Source organism: Homo sapiens, chromosome 13 (genome assembly GCF_000001405.40).
Source record: "Homo sapiens chromosome 13, GRCh38.p14 Primary Assembly".
Classification (NCBI taxonomy): Eukaryota; Metazoa; Chordata; class Mammalia; order Primates; family Hominidae; genus Homo; species Homo sapiens.
This window is the reverse complement of record NC_000013.11, coordinates 56,998,754-57,024,396: the sequence shown is the minus strand read 5'-3', so window position 1 is coordinate 57,024,396 and position 25,643 is coordinate 56,998,754.

The window sequence follows — 25,643 nt, the reverse complement described above, 5'->3', positions numbered from 1 at the left end:
TTTGGTTTCATTGATTTTTTTTATAATTTTCATTTCAAATTTATTTGTTTACTGTTTTCTAGTTCTAGATGATGCATCATTATGTTGTTTATTTGATTTTTTCATCTTTTTTGATGTAAATGCTTATAGCTACAAACTTTTCTCTTTCTATTGCTTTTGCTGTATCCTGAAGTTTTGGGTATGTTGTGTTTCCATTATCATTTGTTTCAGGAAAATTTTTAATTTCCTTCTTACATTTTTCATTGAGCCACAGGTCATTAAGGAACATAGTGCTTAATTTCCATATATGTGTATAGTTTCTGAAATTCCTTTTATTATTAATTTCTAGTTTCATTCCATTGTGGTCAGAGAAGATGCTTGATATTATTTCAATTTTCTTAAATGTTCTAATATTTGTTTTGTGACCTAACACGTTGTCTATCCTTAAGAATAATCCATGTGCTGAGGAAAAGAATGTGTTGTCTGCAGTTCTTACCTGAAATGTTCGGTAAATATCTATCAGATTCATTTGATCTATACTGTACATTAAATATGATGTTTATTAATTTTCTGTCTGGAAGACTTGTCCAATGCTGAAAGTGAGGTGTTAAACTCTCTAGCTATTATTATATTTGAAACTTTCTCTCTCTTTAGATCTAATAATGTTTCCTTTATATACCTAGGTGCTCCAGTGTTTGGTGCATATATATTGAAAATGTTATATACTCTTGCTAAATTGACTCCTTTATCTTTATACAGTCACATTTTTTCTCTTTTTTCAGTTTTTGACCTGAAATCTATTCTCTCTGATATAAGTACAGTGACTCCTGCTCTATTTTGGTTCCCATTGACATGGAATATCCTTTTTCATACCTTTTTTTCAGGCTATGTGTATTTTATAGGTGAATTGTGTTTCTTGTAGGCAACAGATCAATGGGTCTTGGTTTTTCAATCCATTAATCCAGTCTATATCTTTTGATTAGAGAGTTTAGTTCATTTACATTCAACGATATTAATGTTAAGAACTTACTCCTGCCATTTTGCTATTTATTTTCTGGTTGTTTTGTAGTCTTCTCTTTCGTTTTTGTTTCACTCTTGTTTTCTTCTAGTGAAGGTAATTTTTTGTGTGTGTGATATAATTTAGTTTCTTGCTTTTTATTTTTTGTGTATTTATTGTAAGTTTTGTGGTTTGAGGTTAACACGAGACTTGCAAATACTATCTTATAATACGTTATTTTATACTGATAACAACTTAACAATATTTTCATAAACAATGAGCAGAAAGAAAACTAATAAAAGCTCACCTTGGCTTTGTTTCCCTGTTTTTAAACTGTTGCTGTTCCTATTTATATCATTTATTTTCTTTTTTTAACTTTTATTTTAAGTTCAGGAGTACAAGCGCAGGTTTTTTACATAGATAAACATGTGTCTTGGGGATTGTTGTACAGATTATTTTATCACCCAGATACTAAGCTTAGTATGCATTAGTTATTTTTTTTCATTTAAAATTTTTTATTTTCCTATTCCAACAGGTTTTTGGAAAGAAGGTGGTGTTTGATTACATGAATAAGTTCTTTATTGTTGATTTCTGAGTTTTTGGTCATCCATCACCTGAGCAGTGTACATTGTATCCAGTATGTGGTATTTTATCCCTCACCATTCCCCACCCTTTCTCCTGATTCCCCAAAGTCCAATATATCATTCTTATGACTTTGCATCCTCATAGCTTAGCTTCTACATACGAGTGAAAACATACAATATTTAGTTTTCCATTTTTGAGTTACTTCACTTAGAATAATAGCCTCCAATTCCATGCAGGTTGCTGCAAATGCCATTATTCCATTCCTTTTTGTGGCTGAGTAGTACTCCATGGTATATATATACCACATTTTCTTTATCCACTCACTGATTGATGGGCATTTGGGCTGATTCAATATTTTTGCAATTGCCAATTGTGCTGCTATAAATATACATGTGCAAGTATCTTTTTTGTATAATGAGTTATTTTCCTCTAGGTAGATACCTAGTAGTGGGATTACTGGATCAAACGGTAGACCTATTTCTTGTTATTTAAGGAATCTCCACAGTATTTTCCTAGTGGTTGCACCAGTTTCCATTCCCTTTTCACCACATCCACACCATCATTCTTATATCTTAATGTACTATTTATGTCTTCACAAGTTGTTGAAGTTACTGCTTTTGATTGGTTCATTGTTTAGTCTTTCTGCTAAGGACAAAAGTAGTTTATACACCACAGTTACAGTTTGTAATATTCTGTGTTTTTTTCTGTGTACTTACTATTACCAGTAAGTCTTATACCTTCAGATGAATATTTTTGTTAATTAATGTCCTTATCTTTCTTACTGAAGTATTCTCTTCAGCATTTCTTGCAGGAAAGGTCTGGTATTGATGAAATGTTAATACCTCAGCCTTTCTTTGTCTGAGAAAGTATTTATTTTTCCTTCATGTTTGAAGGATATTTTCACCAAATATACTGTCTTGGTTAAAAGTTTTTTTTTTTTTTTTCCTTCAGAACTTTAAATATGTCATGCCACTCTCTTCTGGCTTTAAGGTTTCCAGTGAAAAGTCTGCTGCCAGACATACTGGAGTTCCGTTATATTATTTTTTTCTTTTCTCTTGCTGCTTTGAGAATCTTTTCTTTATCTTGGCTTTTTTGAGTTTAATTATTAAATGTCTCTAGGTAGTCTTGTTTGAGTTAAATCTGCTTTGTGTTCTATAACCTTGTAGTTGAATATCGATATCTTTCTGCAGGCTTGGGAAGTTTTCTGTTATTATCACTTTGAATAATTGTTCTACTCTTGTTTCTCTAAACCCCTGGTCAAAAGGAGTACTGCTAGACTGCCACCAATGTTACCATAAGGCCCAAATTCTCTTAAGTCAGCTTGTAGTGAATACTGTCTGGCTTGGGCTCACATTTCAGGGTGGGGGGCTCCTCTGTGGCCCAGGACAGGTATAGAAATGCTGTCCAAGAGTCAAGTCCTGGAATTGGGGACCCCCAGAGTCCGCTTTGTGCTCTACCAACCTGTGACAATGTTGGCACCTAAGGTGCAAGACAAAGTTCCCTTTACTTTTCTCTCTGCTTTTCCCAAGCAGAAGAAGTTTTACCCCATAGCTACCACAGCTGGTAATATTCTGAGTCTCACCTGAAGCCAGCAAATCTCAAAGGCTCACCAAGGCTCTTGACGTAGTACCTGGGTATTACTGCTGGATATTCAGGGCCCAGAAACTCTTCATTTAGCAGGTGATGAATGCTGGAAGGATTAGGTTCTTTTCTTCAAGGCAGCAGTTCTTTTCTGGCCCAGAGTGTGTCTAGAAATATCCTCTTGGAGCTAAACCTTGGAATAGGACCTCATGACTCAGACTGGTGCCCTATCCTGCTGTGGCTGAGCTGGTATCCAAGATGCAAGACAAAATTCTCACCACTCTTCCCTCTCCAATTCTCAAGCTGCAGGAAGGGGTCTCTTTTGGAGCCATGAGCGGTGCAGACTGGCAGACTGGGGTTAGGGTAGCGGTGATACCAGCATTCCCTTGGCTTCCCCAGCTGATGTCTCAGTATGTCACATGCCCTCTCAGTTCACTGTCTCTGGGCCTAGTTCAGCCCTATGACCTTCCCAAGAGTTGCAGTCCTAAGAGGCCTTTCAGATTTATTTAGAGACCAAGAGCACTTTAGCTCTGGGTGGTGAGGTTTGTGGACATTCAAATTTGGGCTGCTGGGATGGGTGATTCCCCTCTGACTAGGGTTGGTTTAAATACTCCATTTTTGGGTGGGCATTAGCTGAGTTTTGTCTGGTTTTCCTTTCTACTCTAACAGAACAGCACTGAATTTAGTGTCTCACAGTTGTTGTGTTCTCTCTCCCCCAGCACCCAGAGATGCTCATGGCACCATGCCACAGCTGCCAGGGATGGAGGAGGGGTGGTGTTGGTGATTCTGAATCATTTTTTCTATCTGTTCAATACCTTTTTCAGTGATATAAAGTTAAAATCAGGCACTATGAGTGCTCACCTGATTTTTGGTTCTTATAAAGGTGTGTTCCTATTTAGATCATTGTTAACTTGGTGTCCTTGCTGAGGGAGATGACAGGTGAAGCTTTCTATTCTATCATCTTGCTCTGTCCCTATTCCACAAATATTTCATTCATTGTTTTCTATGTTGCTATTTTTGGACATGGGAATACTAAAATCTTTGAGATCTGATCTTTCTCTTAGGTAACTTAGAGCCTACTAGGGATGATACACATGTGTAATAAACAAATGAAATAAATTGTGTAAATATTAGAACAGAAGTACAGCATACTTGATATGGGTGGGTTACAGGCATGCTAGTGGTTTAAGTAAATAAAAATGCTGTCCTTCTCTCCTACAACCCGTTAATCTTTCATCACATACCTTGTTGCAGCTTCCCATTTGGCAAGACATAAAATTTAAGAAATGAAACTAGTACAGAGACTGAAGTTGCTCATGGAAGAGTCCAAAATGTAAACATTAAGACTTGAGCATAAACTGAGTTGAGACACCGGATCTATACATGTTAATTTCTTAGCAGCCTTACCTGAATGAATCAGGAGAGAAACTGATTTTGCTACAAGCAGTGGCATATTTAATATCAAGGATATACACGTATTTTTAAAAAGTGAGAGTTGGGGGGGCACATTAGAGAATAATTTTATTTCTGCCTCTAATGGAGAGGAACATAGAAGAAGTGATTTTTATTCTTTGTTACCTTGATTAACGCTCTGAATTCTTCTGAAGGTAAAAATAATGCATGTGATTTTTCCAATTTCTTGAAGTGCTTTTTGTTTGTTTCAATTCCTGTTTTACTTTGATTTTTGAATTCACATATCTCTAGTCATCCAAAACAAGTCTTACAAACATTGCTCAGATTTCCTGCATATAATCATTTTCTCCTCACAACTCTTCTCTTCTATATCTTGTGTACTAGGAACACTTCTTCAAACTAGGAAGCAACTTTCCATTCTCCTGATATGCAATGGGAATGGCTTCATTTAATGATTGCAACATATATGCCAAAATAATTTCCGATTGTCATCTAAAATAAACTGGTGGAATGATATTTTATTTTTCATATAAATCAGTACACCATTATGTTTTAAAATGTTTTATCAAGGAATAATGTTTAGTTTAGGTACCTGAGTTCATCTTTCTTAAAGGTAAATAGTACTTTATGATCTCTTACTGAATTTCAACATGGATATATAAATGTTACCTCATTAGTCTGTTTGCACAGTATCTGTGAGACACGGTAAGTATCAAAGGCCAGATTATAGTGCTGTAAAGAAGAACTGGGCTGGTTGCGGTGGCTCACGCCCATAATCCCAGCACTTTGAGAGTCCAAGGCGAGTGGATCACCCGAGGTCAGGAGTTCAAGACCAGTCTGGCCAACGTGGAGAATCCCTATCTCTACTAAAAATACATAAATTAGCTGGGCGTGGTGGCAGGTGCCTGTAATCCCAGCGACTCAGGAGGCTGAGGCAGGAGAACCACTTGAACCTGGGAGATGGAGGTTGAAGTGAGCTGAGATTGTGCCACTGCACTCCAGTCTGGGCAAAAGAGTGAGACTCCATCTCAAAAAAAAAAAAAAAGAAAAAAAGAAAGAAGGAGAAATGACATAAACAAATAAGGAGTAAAATTGACAAACGTCAGATAAACAGTGTTAGAATTTTTGTATATGAAAATGTGTCCTCTCTCACCACATTATGCCCTAAAACATTAGAAATGACTATCTTAATATTAAAAGTCATAATAATATAAATAGCTATAAATGTATTTATTTCTATTTCTTTAATGTCATTTTGCTATATGACCTCTATAGCAGCAGGTTGTACAGCAAGAATATTCTGTCTTTTATTAAATGCTTTACTTCATTTTGGCAAAGAAAACCAAGTGAAATTATAATTTTTAGAATAAAATTATTCTATATTATGCTATCAAAAATAACATTATTTTTAGAATAATTAGAATTTTCAGATATGTGAGCTTTATTGATCACAAGATTTTGTACACCTTTTTACTTTGAAAAAGTACATTTTAAAATCATTTTTCATTTTCATAATTCACTCTTGGAATGGAATTAAATGGTGTGATAATTTAACAGAGGATTATTTCCCTGCTTTTAGCTAGATAGTGCCAAAATTATTGGAGGATAATTTTTTATAAAAGATTTTTTTCAAACACCTTTAGAGAAGAAAATACTGTAACCTCTCTTGATAACACATTCTTGTGGCTTATGATACCCACAGTCAGGAAGTACTTACTTTTCTGCAATTTAAACTTATTCCCCCTTGTCCTATATTCAGTGAATGTAGAGGAAAAACTATTCAATACTACCGTACGAGACCTTTTTCATATAACCCCAAACTAATGATGAGTCTCTCCAAGCTTTCTCTTTCTTATGCTTGAATAAACTCACTTCCGCTTACCTATTCTTCATTACACACTTTCAGTAAAGTCTAATCTTTTTTTTTTTTCCCCACATGAAGGCCTACTCAAATTTCTTCAGATCACATATCAGCTTTTATTCAGGTTCTTAGTTCTAAGACATACCACTTGAGGATTTTTTTTTTCCCCGAAAGATTCACCTGTCTACCTTACAGACTAAGTTACTTTGAGAAGGTAAGAATAACACTGAGGAGACAATTCTATAATTTATTATAATCTATTTATACCAATTAAGTTTGGAGTATCAGAGGAGAACAGTAATTCTTGAAACAACTGTAAAATAAAAGAGAGCAGAACTAGCATATGCTATGATTCTAATGCTCCTCCATGAAACAATTTCAGTAGAAGGCTGAACTGTCATGCTCTGTAGTTACTTCATTCTTCAATACAAAGGTCAGTCTCTTTGACGTTTGCAATGAAAAGCTGTTTTCACAGCTATGATCACAAAGTTAATTACACATCAATTCTTTAAAATGATGTTTATGTTCATATATATTGTTCAATGTATATTTTGCCCTAACTAGGGGATCAAGTTAAATTTAGATGTCAAGGTCCTTGTAGTTTATTAAAGAAGTTAAATTTAATCAAAAAGTAATGTAAATGTGCATGATGCAAGTATTATATGTCATTGTAATTTTATGTGATATAATTGCATTTATAGCAGATCAGTGAAAGTTTGTGAAAATTGACCTATTAAATATTAAAATTTTCCCCGCCAGAGGTTGAATAGGAATACAGACTATAGAAGAGAATGTCAGAAAAAGTTTACAGGATAGAAATAGTAAGGCTAGAATTTTCTGAAATTCTGTGAATGCCTGTTCCATGATCATGATAGCAGCACCAGAAATATTACTAGGCTATAGGAACTATATGCTTTCAACTGTTTTCACCAGTATGAAAAGGCAATAAAGCAAGTGTATAAGGGTAAAAGAGAAGATTGTCTGATGTTTAACTTTTAGATTTCCTCTATATGATATTTTTTAAAGATGGACTTTAGACAACTAAAGTCTTCTTTCTCAAAATTGCTGAGATAGGAGTCTCAGACATTTTAAGTATTAAATATTAAACGATTAAGTGGATGTTTTTATGACTACTATATGTCTTCCTGAATTTCCCTTGTCTTCAACAACTTGTTAAAAATTATTTTGAGTAGTAGCTTTAAGTTTTATTTACAAACCTTCTTCATAGCAAAGAAGGACTTCTTACTTATAAGAGTTAAAACATATTACACCTCTGGATATAGCCTAGAGTGCATTTCTGAAACATTTATTCAAAAATTAAATTAATATAATCATGTATATTTCAGAAGGCAAAGATATTTTTATTACTAATCTCAGGATACACACCAGTGGCACCAAAGAGATTTAAAACTCAGAAAAAAACAAAGCAATATTATAAAATAAAAAGCAGTTCACTTGAGAACCCCAAATCTGCTAAAAATGAGTGAGCCAATTTTACTCTGTATAACCACAAAATTGAAATAGAGTTAACTTCTGATGATTAAAAGAAAAGTTGGGAACGTGTTTTGAAATAATTAATAATCTGGTCCTAGATCCTTGAGGAATTGCCATACTGTCTTCCACAATGGTTGAACTAATTTACATTCCCACCAACAGTGTAAAAGTGTTCCTATTCCTCCACAGCCTCACCAGCATCTATTGTTTCTTGACTTTTTAATAATCGCCATTCTAACTGGTGTGAGATGGTATCTCATTGTGGTTTTGATTTGCATTTCTCTAATGATTAGCGGTGATGAGTTTTTTTTCATATGTTTGTTGACCACACATATGTCTTCTTTTGAGAAGTGTCCGTTCATACCCTTTGCCCACTTTTTTATGGGGTTGTTTTGTTTTTCCCTGTAAATTTGTTTAAGTTCCTTGTAAATTCTGGCTATTAGATCTTTGTCAGATGGGTTGATTGCAAACATTTTCTCCCATTTTGTAGGATGCCTGGTCACTCTGATGATAGTTTCTTTTGCTGTGCAGAAGCTCTTTAGTTTAATTAGATCCCATTTGTCAATTTTGGCTTTTGTTGCAATTGCTTTAGGTGTTTTCATCATGAAGTTTGCCCATGCCTATGTCCTAAGTGGTATTTCCCAGGTTTTATTCTAGAGTTTTTATTGTTTTGGGTTTTACATTTAAGTCTTTAATCCATCTTGAGTTAATTTTTGTGTAAGTTGTAAGGAAGGGTTCCAGTTTCAGTTTTCTGCATGTGGCTAGCCTGTTACTGGGCATATATCCAAAGGAATATAAATTATGCTACTATAAAGACACATGCACACGTCTGTTTTTTGAAGCACCATTCACAATAGCAAAGTCATGGAACCAACCCAAATGTCCATCAATGATAGACTAAAGAAAATGTGGTACATAGACACGATGGAATACTATTCAGCCATAAAAAGGAATGAGATCATGTCCTTTACAGGGACATGGATGAAGCTGGAAGCCATCATCCTTAGCAAACTAACACAGGAACAGAAAACCAAGCACTGCATGTTCTCACACATAAGTGGGAGTTGAACAATGAGAACACATAGACACAGGGAGGGGAACAATACATACCTGGGGCTGCTGGGAGGTAGGTGGTTAGGGGTGGGAACTTAGAGGATGAATCAACAGGTGAATCAAACCACCATGGCACAAGTATACCTGTGTAACAAACCTGTACTTTCTGCACATGTATCTTGGAACTTAAAGTAAATTTTTTAAAAAAAGAAATAATTAATAATTACAATTACAAAAATCTGGACTATCCAATAGGATATGTATTTCTGCATTTTACAATTCAGAAAATTGAGGTTCAAGGATTAGGTGATTTTTCATAATTTGAAATGAATAAATTAAGATAAAATTAAGACAAAGAGCCAAGCTTCCTAAATTCTTTTTATTTTTACTTTTTCCTTTATTGCAGTATGCAGCATTCATGTTTAAAACAGTGTTTTTACTCATATTATTGTCTCTGTATGCCCTCCTCTTCATTAAGTTTTGAAGGTTGTGTTAGTTATTGGTTTCTAGGTAACAAATTACATAAACCTAATAGTCTAAAAAATCACGTATATATCTCACAGTTTTTGTGGATTGAAAGTTCAGGCTTAACTGAGTGTGCTCTCTGGGGTATCACAGGTTGCAAACAATTTGTTAGCTAAGTTGTAGTCTCATCTGAACATAGGGAAGAACTCACTTCCGATTTGACACAGTTTTGTTGGCAGAATTTATTGCCTTGTGGTTATAGAACTGATGGTTTCAACTTCTTGTTGTCAATGGGAGGCTACACTCACTTCCTAGAGACCACTCTCATCTTCTTGCCACACAAGCCTGCCAACATGTTCACAAACTTCTTAGGAGCCATCTAAGACAGAGGCAAATAATATAGTGTAACCATAAGAGTGACATCCCATTACATTATCCTGCCAATCCTCATGAAGAGGGGATTGATTACACAAAGACAGGAACACCAGGAGAGAGGAATCACAGCGAGGTACACTCTGTACTTCTCTTGGTAGTTTCAGTTGATTAGGATTATTAACATATTGTATTAATGTTATTAGAAATTATTATTTTGGGGCCAGCATAATTATTAAATGCAATCAAATTCTAGCCTCCAATCTCAACATAATGCATGAATTAAGTAATACTCTTTTTTACATTTATTATTCATTCTAGCCATGAGATCCTAGTTATGTGAGGGTCTTTCACTACATTATAAACAGCATCCTTCCCTTCTATTCCTTTCTAGAATATCCAGTAGGACAGAAAAATTTTGAACATAATATATGAAATAAGTCAATGGCCCTAACAAATTAGTGAGCTATTTCAAAAAATTAAGTTGGCCTTCTATAATTTTTATATAAGTTAAATTTCAGCTACAAAACCACAAACAATACATGCTGACCTATATCCAGGAACACTTTTAAGTTCACAAATTAAAACAGAAGAGAAAAAGCCTCCAATGAACTTTATTGTCCCTACTTACTTCATTTCATCATAGTACTCATATTTTAATATTTCTTTATTCTCTTTTTGACTACATATTTTGATGTCCTTTTTTTTCTTTTTCTTTTATATTTGAAATATAACAATGACTTTGTTTTTCAAATTACTTGTTTGACAGACTGAATTGGGTCCTTTGGTGTTTCAGGATGTGTACGTAGGTTACATTTAATTTCATATGAAAACATTTGGAAAACCATGGAAAAAAAGATGTATAATGAAGGTGTTTAAACACTCCCTCTAATATTCCTAAAATTGCAAGAGAGAAATGCGGAAAAAACATACTTTGTAAAATGTCATTGTTGCAGGAAGTAATACATTTTCTGTTAGGGAATTGACAATGTTAAATAGTTTAAGATACAGTTTGATTATGTTAATTATGGTTATATAATACCATGGATTTAAAACACAAATTTATACATGTTTTATTTAATCAATAAATATGCTAAAATATATAATGAATGTGATATCCATTAATATTAAAAGAACAAAAATATCACATTTATTCAGCTAGAATAAGAAGTATTCCCAAACTATTCCAACTAATGCAAAGTCAAAATATGTTCTATCTGACATGAAACATTGGCATGGAGACAAATGTGAAAATGGGCTTGGCTATAACCTCTTCACAAGTATTTTACTAAAATAAAAATGATAATGTTTACCACAGCTCATGCAAATCCATAATACATAATTCAAAATGTGATGAACACATTTGACATCCCATCTCAAAACATTAATGTGCTATTGTGGGGATTTGAACACAGTAGAGAAAATGAATATACTAAAGTCTAGAAACCATCTCCTTTTAAATATATTTTTCAATCAATAAATGAGATAAAAATGAAAATCATGTAAAATATATACAGTATTACTACATTTTTAACAGCATTTTTTTTCTATTTTTTTCATTCAGTCTCATTTCTCCACCAGCAGGAAGACTAAGAAAGATGGAGTTTCTCTCATTCTCAGTCCTCAGAGTTTGAGAGGAATTTCCAGGAATCAAACAGATTAAAATTTTTTTTTTCTGTAAAGTTCGATTCATGGCTAGAATAACTCCTAGCAATATTAATCACTTCTTCTCCCTCTGTACTTCAATAACTATTTTTTATTCTTCTGGTATAGCACTCACCATATTTTAAGAGTCACATAGCTACAATAATGGCCCCAAACATTTCTTGAATCTTACTCCTCCAATGCTCTTAATTACACTATATTTCTGATCAACTTCTAATTGTGTGTTCCCTTTATATTATGATGTTTCCCTAACTATCTGTGTTCTTGAACCTCCTATTTTCTCTGCACTGTCTGATCTTTGTCTGGCTTATGACATTTATTCATTTTTTAGAGCTCAGCACAGGACTGGTTTCAAGTAGACATTGTCCTCTGACCAAAGGGCCAGAATTAAGTAGTTTTCATTATTATTTTTAAAACTCACTCTTTGTATTTTGTATATATATTTGTTTTCCCTCTAAACATTAGCTTTTTAAATGGCATTAACTACATCTGTGTTATATTATTTTTATCTACTATCTTGCTAATTACTTCATATATTTTAAATGATGAAGAAAAAAATTAGTAGAAAGTAAGTGAGAATTGTATAGACAGACGTAGGTTATATAACTTCCATGAGCACCATATTTCTTGTGAATAAATGGAGATATAAATAACCCTCCCAACAAATAGTTTCCCAGTATATTATTTACAATAATAAATATAAAATTTAAAATCAGTTTTAATATACATAAAATGCTCAATATGTCTCATTTCCTTTTTAAAATATATTATAAATGGGCAGTATATTGATTGCTTACTTTGTCTAACTCTTTTACAGAATATTAGTTGTATTGAGAGTAAGTATTTACTTACCTTATCTCTAATTCCTAATAAATGCTCACAATTGACTTTAAAAATATGTACAATATAAGTGAATAAATTGACAAAATCTTTGCATATGGACTGTAGCAAATTTAATTTAAGCTAACCCAAATAAGGACATTTCATGCCTTGCCATTAATAATACGTTACATAGAAAATGATCTAACAAGTAGAAATTAATGGCAGACCAAGTATAAATTTCATATCTGAAGTCCTTAAGATAAAAATTTTACAAGATGCATTTTGGGACATGAAAAAAGAACATGAACAGACTGCAAACTGTTACACAATCAGTGGGTTTATGTAACAGTGGAAGGACCCTGAGGTTAAGAAACGTGTAAACTTATAAGAAAAATACCAGGAAACTTTCTCATCATTTGCTCCATTGAGGGACACTATCTTTATTATCTTAGACAAAAAATAGATCTACCTTTGCTCAGGAGAGAGACACAATCTCTGTCTTCCAAGGCTGTTCACTATACAAATATCCTTGAAAAGATAGACTGCTATCACAACATATGCAGAAACGAGATCCACAAAAACTTGTCTCCAATAATGATACCCCTGGGCCCCTCTCCACCACCACCACACACAACTCCTATCCTTCCAGCTTGTCTCAGGAAGGCATACATTCAATGTAATCACATTCCTGTACATTCATGGATGTGATAATCTGTTACACTACTGTACCAAAAAAATTACATTACTTTATTTGGTAAAATCAAATTTCATTAGGGCCAAAATACCATTCTCCCAAATTAAAAAAAAAAAATCCAATCTCAGAAACCACTGGTACACTTACCTTTAAGTGGTTATGCAACTTTTATTTTCCTACTTGGTGGTAAATATGGAAATATTTCCGAAAAAGTGACTTGCTTTTTCAAATTACACACGTATATAACTTTAATAGTTATTGACTGATTAATACAATTATGTCTGTACATATTCCTTTTTTTCTGTGAGGTAGTAGCTATTCTTCTGATTTCAATTGATAGAACTATTAAATTCTTAAATTTAAAATACAAAGTAATTCAGTTATTAATGGACAAGTGGATTTTAAGTTAAAATAATGGACTTCTGTCATTAGTTTCTACACGTTTACTACCAAGGAAAAAAATAGTATTTGTTAAGTTAATTAGCTTTATGGATGATTTATAATTTTAAAGTATAGCTTAATGAATTATTTTTAATTATTAGTCATTTTTTACTAAACTATGCTGTGGTAACAATCCCCAAATATTGGTGACTTACAATAGGGTTTTTTTTGTTTTGTTTTGTTCTAATTAAGCTGAATTTTAATGTCTTATTTTCATTACTGAGTCCAAGCTAAAAGAACAAACCCCTTTGAGACATTTTAATTCTCAAGAAAGACAAAAAAGAAAAATTGAAGACACACACGATGACACAAATTTTCTGTTTAAACATGACATATGTCACATTTGCTCACATCCCATTGTCTAGTGCAAGTTTATAGTTAAGTCTGCTATCAACGAGTATAATGTATACTCATCCCAGGGGGAAGGGCATAAAGAAGAATTGCTGTAGGCCAAGTAGAGAAAAGTGGTGAATAACTTGAATCAAAAGTGCAATTTAACACTGTCACCCATTGGAATAGACCATCTACCCTGTCTACCCCTTTCTTCCACAAAGCTTCAATGAAATACAACAATTTCTGAGAGATCTCAAATTCAAAGATACAACTGGGTTCAATAAATTTTGTTCTTGGCTAAAATGACTTCCAGCTAGCATATGTAGGCATTGTAGACATATTAATTTTCTTCTGTTCAGTTATATCCATACATTTTTAATGATGACAGATATATCAGTCTTAACACTTGTCATGGTAAGTAGAAGCAATAATTAGTGTTCACTTTGATTTAAACACAATTATTAACAAATGGTTCCAAAATAACTTATTTTCTTACACAAAAAAGAAAGTTGGACCCCACTTTTACAGCATTTGTTAAAGCTATTTTACCCTATTCATTTTTTTCACAGAATATAGTGTTATTTGTAATTGACAATAATAATTGTATATATTTATTATATTTGAGACAATATTTTGGAACATGTATACATTATGAAATAATTAAATCAAGCTAATTAACCTACACATTACCTTACATACTTATTTTGTAGTGGAAATATTTAAAATCTACTAGCTCAACAATTAAAAATTACATTATTATTAACTATATTACACAAAAAGACACATACTATAAATACTCTTTTGAAGTTCGAATTTTTTTCACTGAAGAATAAATATGTCATGGAAATCACTTCACAGACAACTTCCTTCTATATATTTGTATGTTAATGCCTAGTATTCCACTGGGTGGAGGCATCAGAGTTTATTCAGCCAACTCTCCCGTACATGAGCAATTTCCCAATATTTTGTAACGAGAAGTAAACTGAGGCTGGGTGTGGTGGGTCACGCCTGTAATCCCAGCACTTTGAGAGGTCAAGGTGGGTGGATTGCTTGAGGTCAGGAGTTCCAGACCAGCCTGGCCAATATGGTGAAACCCTCTCTCTACTAAAAATACAAAACAAACAAACAAACAAAAAAGATCAGCTGGGCATGGTGGCGGGCGCCAGTAATTCCAGCTACTCGGGAGGCTGAGGCAGGAGAACCGCTTGAACCCAGGAGGCAAAGGTTGCAGTGAGCCAAGATGGTGCCACTGCACTCCAGCCTGGGCGACAGAGCAAGACTCCGCCAAAAAAAAAAAAAAAAAAAAAAAAAAAAGAAGAAAAAAAAAAAAGAAAACTAAACTTAATGAATAACATTATCTATAGGCATTTCAGATAATTGAAAATGTATCCTGAGAGTCAATTTTTAGAAATAAGATCGTGAGTCCAAGATCTAATTGTAGTTTTGTTAGACATTTTCAAAGTCTGTTTATAAAGGCTGTACCAGATTGCATTCCTACTAACAATGCACAGCAGTGAAACTTTCCCCATAGCTGGCCAACAGAGAAATTTTTATTTTAATTTCTTTGCCAGTCTGATAGGTGATATGGTATTTCGCTATAATTTTAATTTTTATTTGTTATATTATGAGTAAACTTGAATAGCTTTTTTCATGTTTAAGGACTTATTATCTATGTTTGAAAATAGCTATTTATTAAATTTATTCATTTTAAAAATCAAGCATTTTATATTTCCCTCATTTTTAAAATATTTCTTATCTGCACTATTGCAGATAAGGGGTCCGCAATAGTGCAGTTGCATTGCAACAGACCCCAACATCTCGTTTCTCCTATCTAACTGAAGATTTGTACCTTTTGACCAACATCTCTGCATTTCTCCTCCCACCTCCCAACCTGGCCTTTGGTAATCACCATTCTACTCTCTCTTCCATAAGTTTGACTCCCAGAAGTGAAATCCACCTATAAGTGCTTTCCCACATGTATGAAATTATGTAGTATTTTCTTTTTTGTGCCTGGCTTATTTATTACCTCCAGGTTCATCCATGTTTTCACATATGGGAGTCCTTTCTTAATTTTTAATGCTGAACAGTATTCAATTGTGTATACACCAAATTTTCTTTATTCATTCATCATCCATTGATGGACACCTAGATTGATTCTATATCTTGGCTATTGTGAATAAAGCTGCAACGATTATGGTAGTGCAGATATCTCTTTAATATATTGATTTCCTTTCCTTTGGATATATACCCAGTAGTGAGACTCCTAGATCATATGGTAGTTCTATTTTTAGTTTTTTGAAGAACCGCCACACTGTTTTCCATAAGGGCTGTACTAACGTAGATTCCTACCAACAGCGCACAAGGGTTCCCTTTCTCCAAATTCTTATCAACACTTGTCTTTTATCTTTTTGATGACAGTCACTCTAACAGATGTGAGATGAAATCTCACTGTGGTTTTAACATGGATTTCTCTGATCATTAATGATGTTAACCAATTTTATATATATATTCATGCACTGCATAACAATATTTCAGTCCAAAAACCTCATATACAAGGGCAATTACATAAGATTATAATATTGTATTCTTACCATACCTCCTCTATGTTTAGCTGCATTTACATATAGAAATATTCATACTTAACATTATGTTACAATTACCTGCAATATTCAGTAGAGTAACATGCTATATAGGTTTGAGGCCTAGAAGTAATAGGCAATAGTACATATCCTAGTTGTGTAGTAGGCTATAGCATCTAGGTTTGTGTTAAGTACATGCTATGATGCTTTTACAATAAAGAAATTGCCTAAGTAGGCATTCAGCAGAACGTATCTCTATCATTAAGTGACTCATGACTGTTCCTGTTGATCATAGTTATGTCTTTTTTAAGGAAATGTCTACTTAGTTCCTTTGCCCATTTTAAAAATCAGGTTGTTTTCTTGCTATTGAGTTGTCTGAGTTTCTTCTATATTTAGGATATTAACTCTTCAGCAGATGTATGTTTAGCAAGTATATTCTCCTAATTCATAAGTTGTCTCTTCACTCTGTGGATTGTTTCCTTCTCTGTGAAATACCTCTTTAGTTTCATAAAATTGTATTTTTCTATTTCTGATTTTGTTGCCTGATATTTTTGGGTCCTATACAAAAGAATCACTGCCAAAACTGATGTCATGGAGCCTTTCCCCTGTGTTTTATCCGAGTAGTTTTATAGTTTCTGGTCTTACACTGAAGTCCTTAGTTCATTTTGAGATGCTTTTTCTATTTTTACTTCTGCATGTAGATATCCAGTTTTACTAGGACCATTTATTGAACATGCTCCCTTTTTCACATTGTGTTCTGGGCAACTTTTTCAAAAATCCATTGATTATAAATGCAAGAGTTTATTTCTGGGCTCTCTATTCTGTTCCACTGGTCAATATGTCTGATTTAATGTCAGTATCATGATGGATTTATTACTATAGCTTTTTCTAATTTGAATTTAAGTAGTGTGATGCCTCTAGCTTTATTTTTTCTTTACTCACCTTGTGACTATTCAGGTTTTTTTGTGGTTTCATATGAACTTGGGGGTATTTTTTCTATTGCTGTAAAAAATGACATTGAAATTTTGATAGTGATTGCATTGAATATGTAGATCCCTTTGGGTAGTACAGAAATTTTAACATTATCAATTTTTCCAATCCATAAACATAGGATATCTTTCCATTATTTGTGCCCTCTTCATTTTTTTCATCAATGGTTAAGAATTATTTTCATCAGTGGTTAAGGATTTTAAATATATCAATTTGACAAAATTCACCACCTGTTCATGATAAAGAGTCTCAACAAATTAGATATAGAAGGAATATACCTCAACAGAACAAAGGCCATATATAACAAGCCCACAGCTAACATAATTCTTAATGGTAAAATGTTAAAAGCTTTTCCTTTACAATCAGGAACATGACAAGGATGACCACTCTCTTCTTTTCTATTTAACATAATACAAAAGCAGTTCAATAAGAAAAAGGAAGAAAAGTTATCCAAATAGGGAAGAAAGAATTGAAATGGTCTGTTTGCTGATAATATGATCTTACATTTATAAAACCTTAGATAATCCACCAAAAAACTGTTAGAAATATAAAAAAATTCAGCAAAGTTGTTGGATACAAATTCAACATAAAAATTTTGTTTTTACACTTATACACTGTTAGTGTTTGAAAAAGAAATTAAGAGGGCAATCCTACTTACAATAGCATGAAAATAATAAAATAGGAATAAATTTAATCAAGGAAGTGAAGGATCTATTTGCTGAAAACTATTAAACATTGATGATAGAAATTGAAGAAGACAATAAATTATAAAGTGTATCATGTTATTCTTATTGACAAAATGGATAAATGTGTATTGGATAATTATGCAATTCAATTGACTTATAACTTTTTGCATGATCATCTGCAGAAAGTATTTTTGATTAATGAATTCACATGAACCTTAACAAGCATGTCTGATGATGTACTACAGACTGTCAGGATCCTGGTCCTGGCTTATTGAACACTGAACATTGGTAGTACACATATTAAAATTGAGATGTAATGTCAAAACATTGGATGGCAAAATTTGGTCAGAATTATTTTTATTTTTAAATTTTGTGGGCACATAGTAGGTGTACATATTTCTGAAGTACATGAGAATTTTCATACAATTATGCAATGTGAAATCATGGAGAATGGGGTATCCAACCACTCAAGCATTTATTCTTTCACAGAATTTTTGAAAGCCTGGGGTTATAAACTAAAAATAAATGTATTCATTTTAAGAAGAACATTTATTAACTTCTAAAGGGAAAACATAATAGAAAAGAATGGCATTGTCTTATAGTGGATAATGAAAGATAAGTACTCTCAACATGTTGTTGGCAAGGGATGTAATTTAATCTTCAGCTGTATACAACCATATACAATGCACAAAAAGAAAATGTTGACTGTTTCACTCTCTTTTACATTGCAGTAGAAATGCATATATTGTTTATTTGTTTTAACTAAGGGCATTTCAGATTTTGTATGTTTATACTTATGAATTCTTAGAGATATTTCTTGCTTCTTTTTGAAGCAAGGTATTTCTTATTACAATGTCATATAGTTTCAGATAGTATGTAAATCAATGCTTTATAATATTAGTTCCCTCTTGATAACATCTTATAATTGCAGCAAAAATATTTTATTAATCTTTTCATTGAATTAAACTATCAATAAGCATCACTCAATAAAATTTAATTAAATCAAAATAAATGAAATAATTACCCTAAGGATACTTTTCATGGAATTTGTAATGAACAGTGATTTATACTTCTCTTTGCAATTGTTCTTTTAAACAAATGTCAGCTTAATAGACCTAATAGCATAATGATTATTACACAAGTTCAATCTTTTACCTTAATAGACAATACACATGTACTCCACAATGTAATATATTGAAATCAGGCTATCAATGGGTTATTGAGTACAGCACATATAAGAGAGTTCATATGAAACACTGATCTTAATAATACCCAAAACTACAGATATACTTGCCCATTTGTCATAGTCTTAAGACATAATATATTTAATTCATATCCACTAATTTTGCCCATTGAAAAATATTATTTTAGAAATTAATATTTCAGTATATTAATAGTATTGCCTCATTTTATATATTTAAATACAATTCAAAATTATGAAACTGTTCAAGACAGAGATTGAGAATTAGGGAAAATGTTCATAGCTAAACCAAAGTATAGATCTTGAAAAAAAAGGCAGCAGATTGAGGATATAAACTGTAGGTACTGACAGAAGGTAACAAATCTGAAAAACCCTTAGTTACAACCAAATAAACAAAATATTCATTTAAATTGCAATAAAATTTTTAAAATTCTGGGAAAATATGTGGACATAGTCATATTCTCATGATAGTTAACATTCATATTATGTATTGCAATGATGGCTTCATGGGTCCTTATATCCAATGGCTTAGATGACACTGTTTTATCTGAGCACATTTTACTTTGTTATATTTATATTTTTTTCAAATTGATATCCGAAACCTCTCTGTCTCTCTCCCTCTTCCTCACTCTTTTTGTCTTTTTTTCTGTGTGTGTATGTGTGTATCTGTGTGTATTTATGTTTAATATATTTATCTTCTAGTACATATATACAAGCTATATGAATATATGTGTGTGAATATACATGAATATACACACATACATGAATATATAAATATATGTGTGTGAATATACATGAATATACACACATATATGGAGAGAGGTTATATATAGGCATATATAGGTAGATAGCTATAGAAAGATTCATGGATGATATATAGATGATAGATATGTATACATATAGGTATTTATTCTTATATGGTGAGCCTATAAAGACCAAATGATCAGAGCAGATAAAATATAAATTTATGCATTAATTCAGAAATATTGTTCAAAAACTTACATTGAGGAAACATAAAGTTGCATTATTGTTGTTGTTTCAATTCCATTATTTGTTTCAAAGAAGACTTTTTATTATTATTATTTATTTATTTTTTTTTTTGTAGAGACGTGGTCCTGCTATGTTGCTCAGGCCAGTCTTGAACTCATAGACTCAAGTGATTCTCCCAGCTTGGCCTCCCAAAGTGTTGGCATTACAGGTGTGAGCCATCATTCCTGGCCCCAAAGAGGATGTTTGAAATATTAAGAGCATAATTTTGTGCCCCAAGGGATTTTTAAAAATCTGTTTGAACACTTGAATTGCTTTCAGAGATACATACTCAGTCAATCACTCATCAATGACATTCAGCGCCTTCTAACTATAACTTAGAGGTGTGGTTGAATTTATTCTGACTTATACTAAAGACATGTCAGGAAGCTAACAACTGAATTGTGTGGAGAATCAAATTGTGAGTTACCTCTTTTTAAAAGCAAGGCCCAGATATCACTTGGATGTTGTCTCCACTTTTCCTTGTCAAAGTTATGGAAATATCTTTAATGACAGAATTACAGTGCCTATAAAATACTCACATTTCCATCATTAAAAGATAACATAATATGTAATCTATAATATACAACATATAATGTATAAAATATTATTATAAAGATTTATTCATTTAAAATTAAGCCTTATCAACACATATTTATTAATAATGAATATATGATATATTTACAAAGTGTGATGATAATAGTATGTATATATATATAATATATACACACACATATATAACACAAATAAATTGAATTTTCTGTGGCATTTTGTTAGATTGTAATATCAGAAGCACAATGTATAACAATGTAGATCATTCCGATATGATATTTAGTCACAGGGATTTTTCTTCTATCATTGAAAAGATGTTTGAGAAATCAAGCAAACTCAATCAATCTGGTGAGCTGATCAGGGGGAAAAAAGTACAGAAACCAAACAAAAACATATCCAGACATAAGATCCAAATTAAAATGATGCAGAGTAAATAATCCAATAACACCTTTCTAATCTGACTGTTAATGCTTTACAGCTACATAATCACATACTGACCATTTATATACCTAAAATACTTATCTGAGGAAACACATTTGTTAAAGCCAGCCAGAATGATAACACAGGCTTTTGTATGATTCCAGAAACTATTCCCAGTTACTTAGTTTCAATATAAGAAATTATTGGATGAAGAAGCTGGAAAGGAAAGTAGCATTTTTTTGGAAGTTTTTTTCTCAAATGTGAATTAGATGCCATTTATTTGTTTTTGGTTTCTTTTGAGTGTTTAAGAAAACAAATGTCACTAATGAATTTAGAGTGATTGAACATATAGAAGTAACATAGAGTAGCAGTTAGACATGTCATCTTTGTGGTAAAAAGTGGAAAGAAATTGTGCAAAAATTTCACAGTTTATAAATGAAAAGCAACTCATATTTGTTTATTTGTTTAGGCACTTATATATAATATACATTTTATACAATTTAATACATTTATAATACTTCTAATATTAAACATATTTCTAATACATGTTTATTTTATGTATGTGTGTATACACGGTTACACACACATATTTAAATATTCAAATATTAAGATGGAAATATGGAGGCTTTGAGGGCCTTCATAAGTTTGCAAAGTTGACACACAGCTATCAAATTAAAGTACATGTGGCAGGAAGACTGGAATTCCTTCTACAATCTTTTGATGCCTCACAAGGCTTTTCTTTCATATAATTTTTAATTGTCAAAATAACCTTACAAAATTAACCCTCATATTTTTTCTACATTTTATTTATAAAATGAAAATGATATACATATACAGGATTAATATAAAAATACTGTGAACTTCAGAATAAATATATATATTTATTTATTTACTATTGCAAAACACTGCTTCTATTCTAGTATCCAATCAACACCATTGTAGTTTAGGAGATCTTGTGCATATATACATACATATAAATCCTCTGCATCTTTTTAAACAATTAATAGATGGTAGGGAAATTAGCTGTGAGATATTTCTCTTCCCCTCAAGGTTGTACACTCTATGATGTCATAATGCATAATAATATGCTTATGGATATCCCAAGTCTAGTAAATTACTTGGCAGTTACTCAACAAATACTTATTAAAAGAAATTATACAATTCAACAACTGGCATTCTGGGGTAAAAGTAGAAAAAGTCTAATCTCATTCAGCTGGACAGCTGTGATGTGGATTGCAATTAACAATTTTCAAATTAATGATTGCATGAGTCATTATTGTTTAGTTAGAAATTTTATTGTGATAATCACAGTAGTGAAAGTTGATGGCTATCTGAATAATGAGTTGAACTGTGAGTCTGTTATAGTTCAATTGGAGTGAAATTGAAATACTTAATTGTGATTTTCCTGTAGGTACAAGATTGCAAGACTATGTGACACTGTGAGTCTTCATAAGAAATAAGAGCTGAGGAGGGATTTTAACACAGGAGATATATCTGCACAGATAATTCTAATATTTGATGTCAGTAGAAGACAGCTAACTCAAACTTCTAGTTCTAAAAAACAGGGACAAGTTTAAAAACTGTGTCTGAACCATAGTAGGCAGTCAGTAAATACTATTTAAATAAAGAAATCTATTCAGAACTTCTGCTAATTCCTGATGTATTATTATTAAAACATCTGTCTTTATAGATAAATACTAATCCTATAGGCATTGAAGTTCTCTCATAAGTTGATGAAAAAGCAAATTTGAATGGCTATTCTGAGAATTATTTTCAACCATTACATAGCTCTTAGGAAGCTAACCACCATGAATATAATAATTATGGCCTGAAAAGATGTGTGCCCGCAGGGTTTGGATGTAGAGGCATATAACTAATCTGAGACAGCAGGAATCTGTTGTGCAGTTGATATTTACCTTATCCTGTCTCCCATTAGATGTTACTTGAGGCCAATAAACAGATGAATGAAAGCTCTGCATCACTAATTATTAGAGAAATGCAAATCAAAACCACAATGAGATACCATCTCACACCAGTCAGAATGGCTATTATTAAAAAGTCAAAGAAACAACAGATGCTGGCGATGTTGTGGAGAAAAAGGAACACTTCTATATTGTTAGTGGGAGTGTAAATAAGTTCAACCATTGTGGAAGACAGTGTGGCGATTCCTCAAAGACCTGGAGGCAGAAATACCACTGGACTCAGCAATCCCATTACTGGGTATATGCCCAAAGGATTATAAATCATTCTATTATAAAGAAACATGCATGCGTATATTCATTGCAGCGCTACTCACAATAGCAAACTGTACATATACACCATGTAATTCTATGCTGCCATAAAAAGGAATGAGATTGTGTCCTTTGCAGGGACATGGATGGAGCTGGAAGCCATTATCCTCAGCAAACTCATGCAGGAACAGAAAACCAAATACCGTGTGTTCTTACTTACAAGTGGGAGCTGAATGATGAGAACACATGAATACTTTGGGGAGTGGGGGATCAACACACATTGGGGCCTGTCAGACGGTGGTGGTTGGGAGGAAGAAGAGCGTCAGGAAGAATAGCTAACAGATGCTAGGCTTAATACCTAGGTGATGGGATAATTTGTGTAGCAAGCCACCATGGCGCATGTTTACCTACGCAACAAACCTGCACATCCTGCATATGTACCCGTGAACTTAAAAATTGAAAATAAGAAGAAAAAAAACTTGCATAAATAAAACAATGTGTAAATTCCAAAGAAGAGGTAAAGGTCTAATTTGATATGACTGCCTAGTTCTGGGTGTAATATGCCATAAGAAACATGATGTTAAAGAAGGAATGGCACAGCATTTTCCTGAGAATCAACTTTGACAGCAGTATACAGTATATTCTGACAAGTTTAACATTCTGAGAATTTCTTCCTGGATGTAATTTTATGACCTGAGCTCTGATGGTAGTAGTACTTATCCAAAGAAATGCTTTTAGGAATAAAAGAGAAACTGTGTTGTCAATGCATTCATTTAGCAAACATTTAATTATCATCTTCTATATATCAGGCATGGAGGAGTTAGGTGCTTAAAGTATTTTAATTTCTTACATTAGATCCTTCAATTTATATTAAAATTTTAACCTACATTGTCTGCTTTCTATTCAAATTGTTTAAAAAGATCAGAACATTTCAAATATCTAACATTGAACTTGCAAAGTAATGATGGATCGGGCCAAAAATTAAGGTATCATAAAGGTATCCCTCAGCTAATGCAACTTCAAATAAAATTGCATTTCTGGAATATCACTAATTAAATAATGGAATTAGTCACAAATATGTATTACTTCATTAATTATATTGTTCTTTACACACACACAAACACACATACACACACACACACACAAAAACACACACACACAGAATGTTTATGAAAACACTATGTAAGATACACAGAATTTTAAGGCCCTAAAGAAAAAGCAATACATTAAGAAAAGAGAAATTGTATTTGTCTATGTGTATCATTTCCTGTTTATTTATAAAACTGTAAAACATATGGATAGTGTAGATCCACATCCATATCTAAAAATATGGATAAATAATTTGTAGATGGTTAATCTCATGGGAATAAAAGCAATATTACTTTATTGTAATATTACTTTAATAGGAAAACCATAGACCAAACTTATGACGTTAAGCACATCTTTCTTTACATCTTTGCTCTTTGTGGGAAAAAAAGTAGTAACACATTAAGAAACTACTTTCACTATCCTTCTGAATTATCTTGTAAAAATACATTAATCAGCCGGATGGGGTGGCTCACGCCGGTAATCCCAGCACTTTGGGAGGCCAAGGCGGGAGGATCACGAGGTCAGGAGATTGAGACCATCCTCTTTAACATGGTGAAACCCCGTCTCTACTAAAAATACAAAAATTAGCCGGGCGTTGTGGCGGGGGGCCTGTAGTCCCAGCTATTTGGGAGGCCGAGGCAGGAGAATGGCATGAACCCGGGAGGCGGAGCTTGCAGTGAGCCAAGTTCGCGCCACTGCACTCCAGCCTGGGCGACAGAGCGAGATTCCGTCTCAAAATAATAATAATAATAATAATAATAATAATAATAATAAAAAATCACTATTAAGCCATCTAACTAGCTAAATGTACCATATAAATAAAATTTGAATGATATAGAAAACATTAGTGGGGCAACTTGATTAGCAATGTTTGTTTTGCCCTTGGTAGAGGAAATGAATATATAGTTGTAAACTGAAAGAGAGTGAGAATACATCAAATTAAATAGTAAATAAAAATTCTTTGGTCAAAGAGGCTGAGACTTTATAAACCGAAAGATGTTAGCCATTTTAATTTAATTAGTTGAAAATAAGTACAAGTGTTTTTATTCAAATCTGAAAAGGGAAGTTTTCTCTTTATATAAAAAAATTCACTTTAACATAACAAAAATATAGA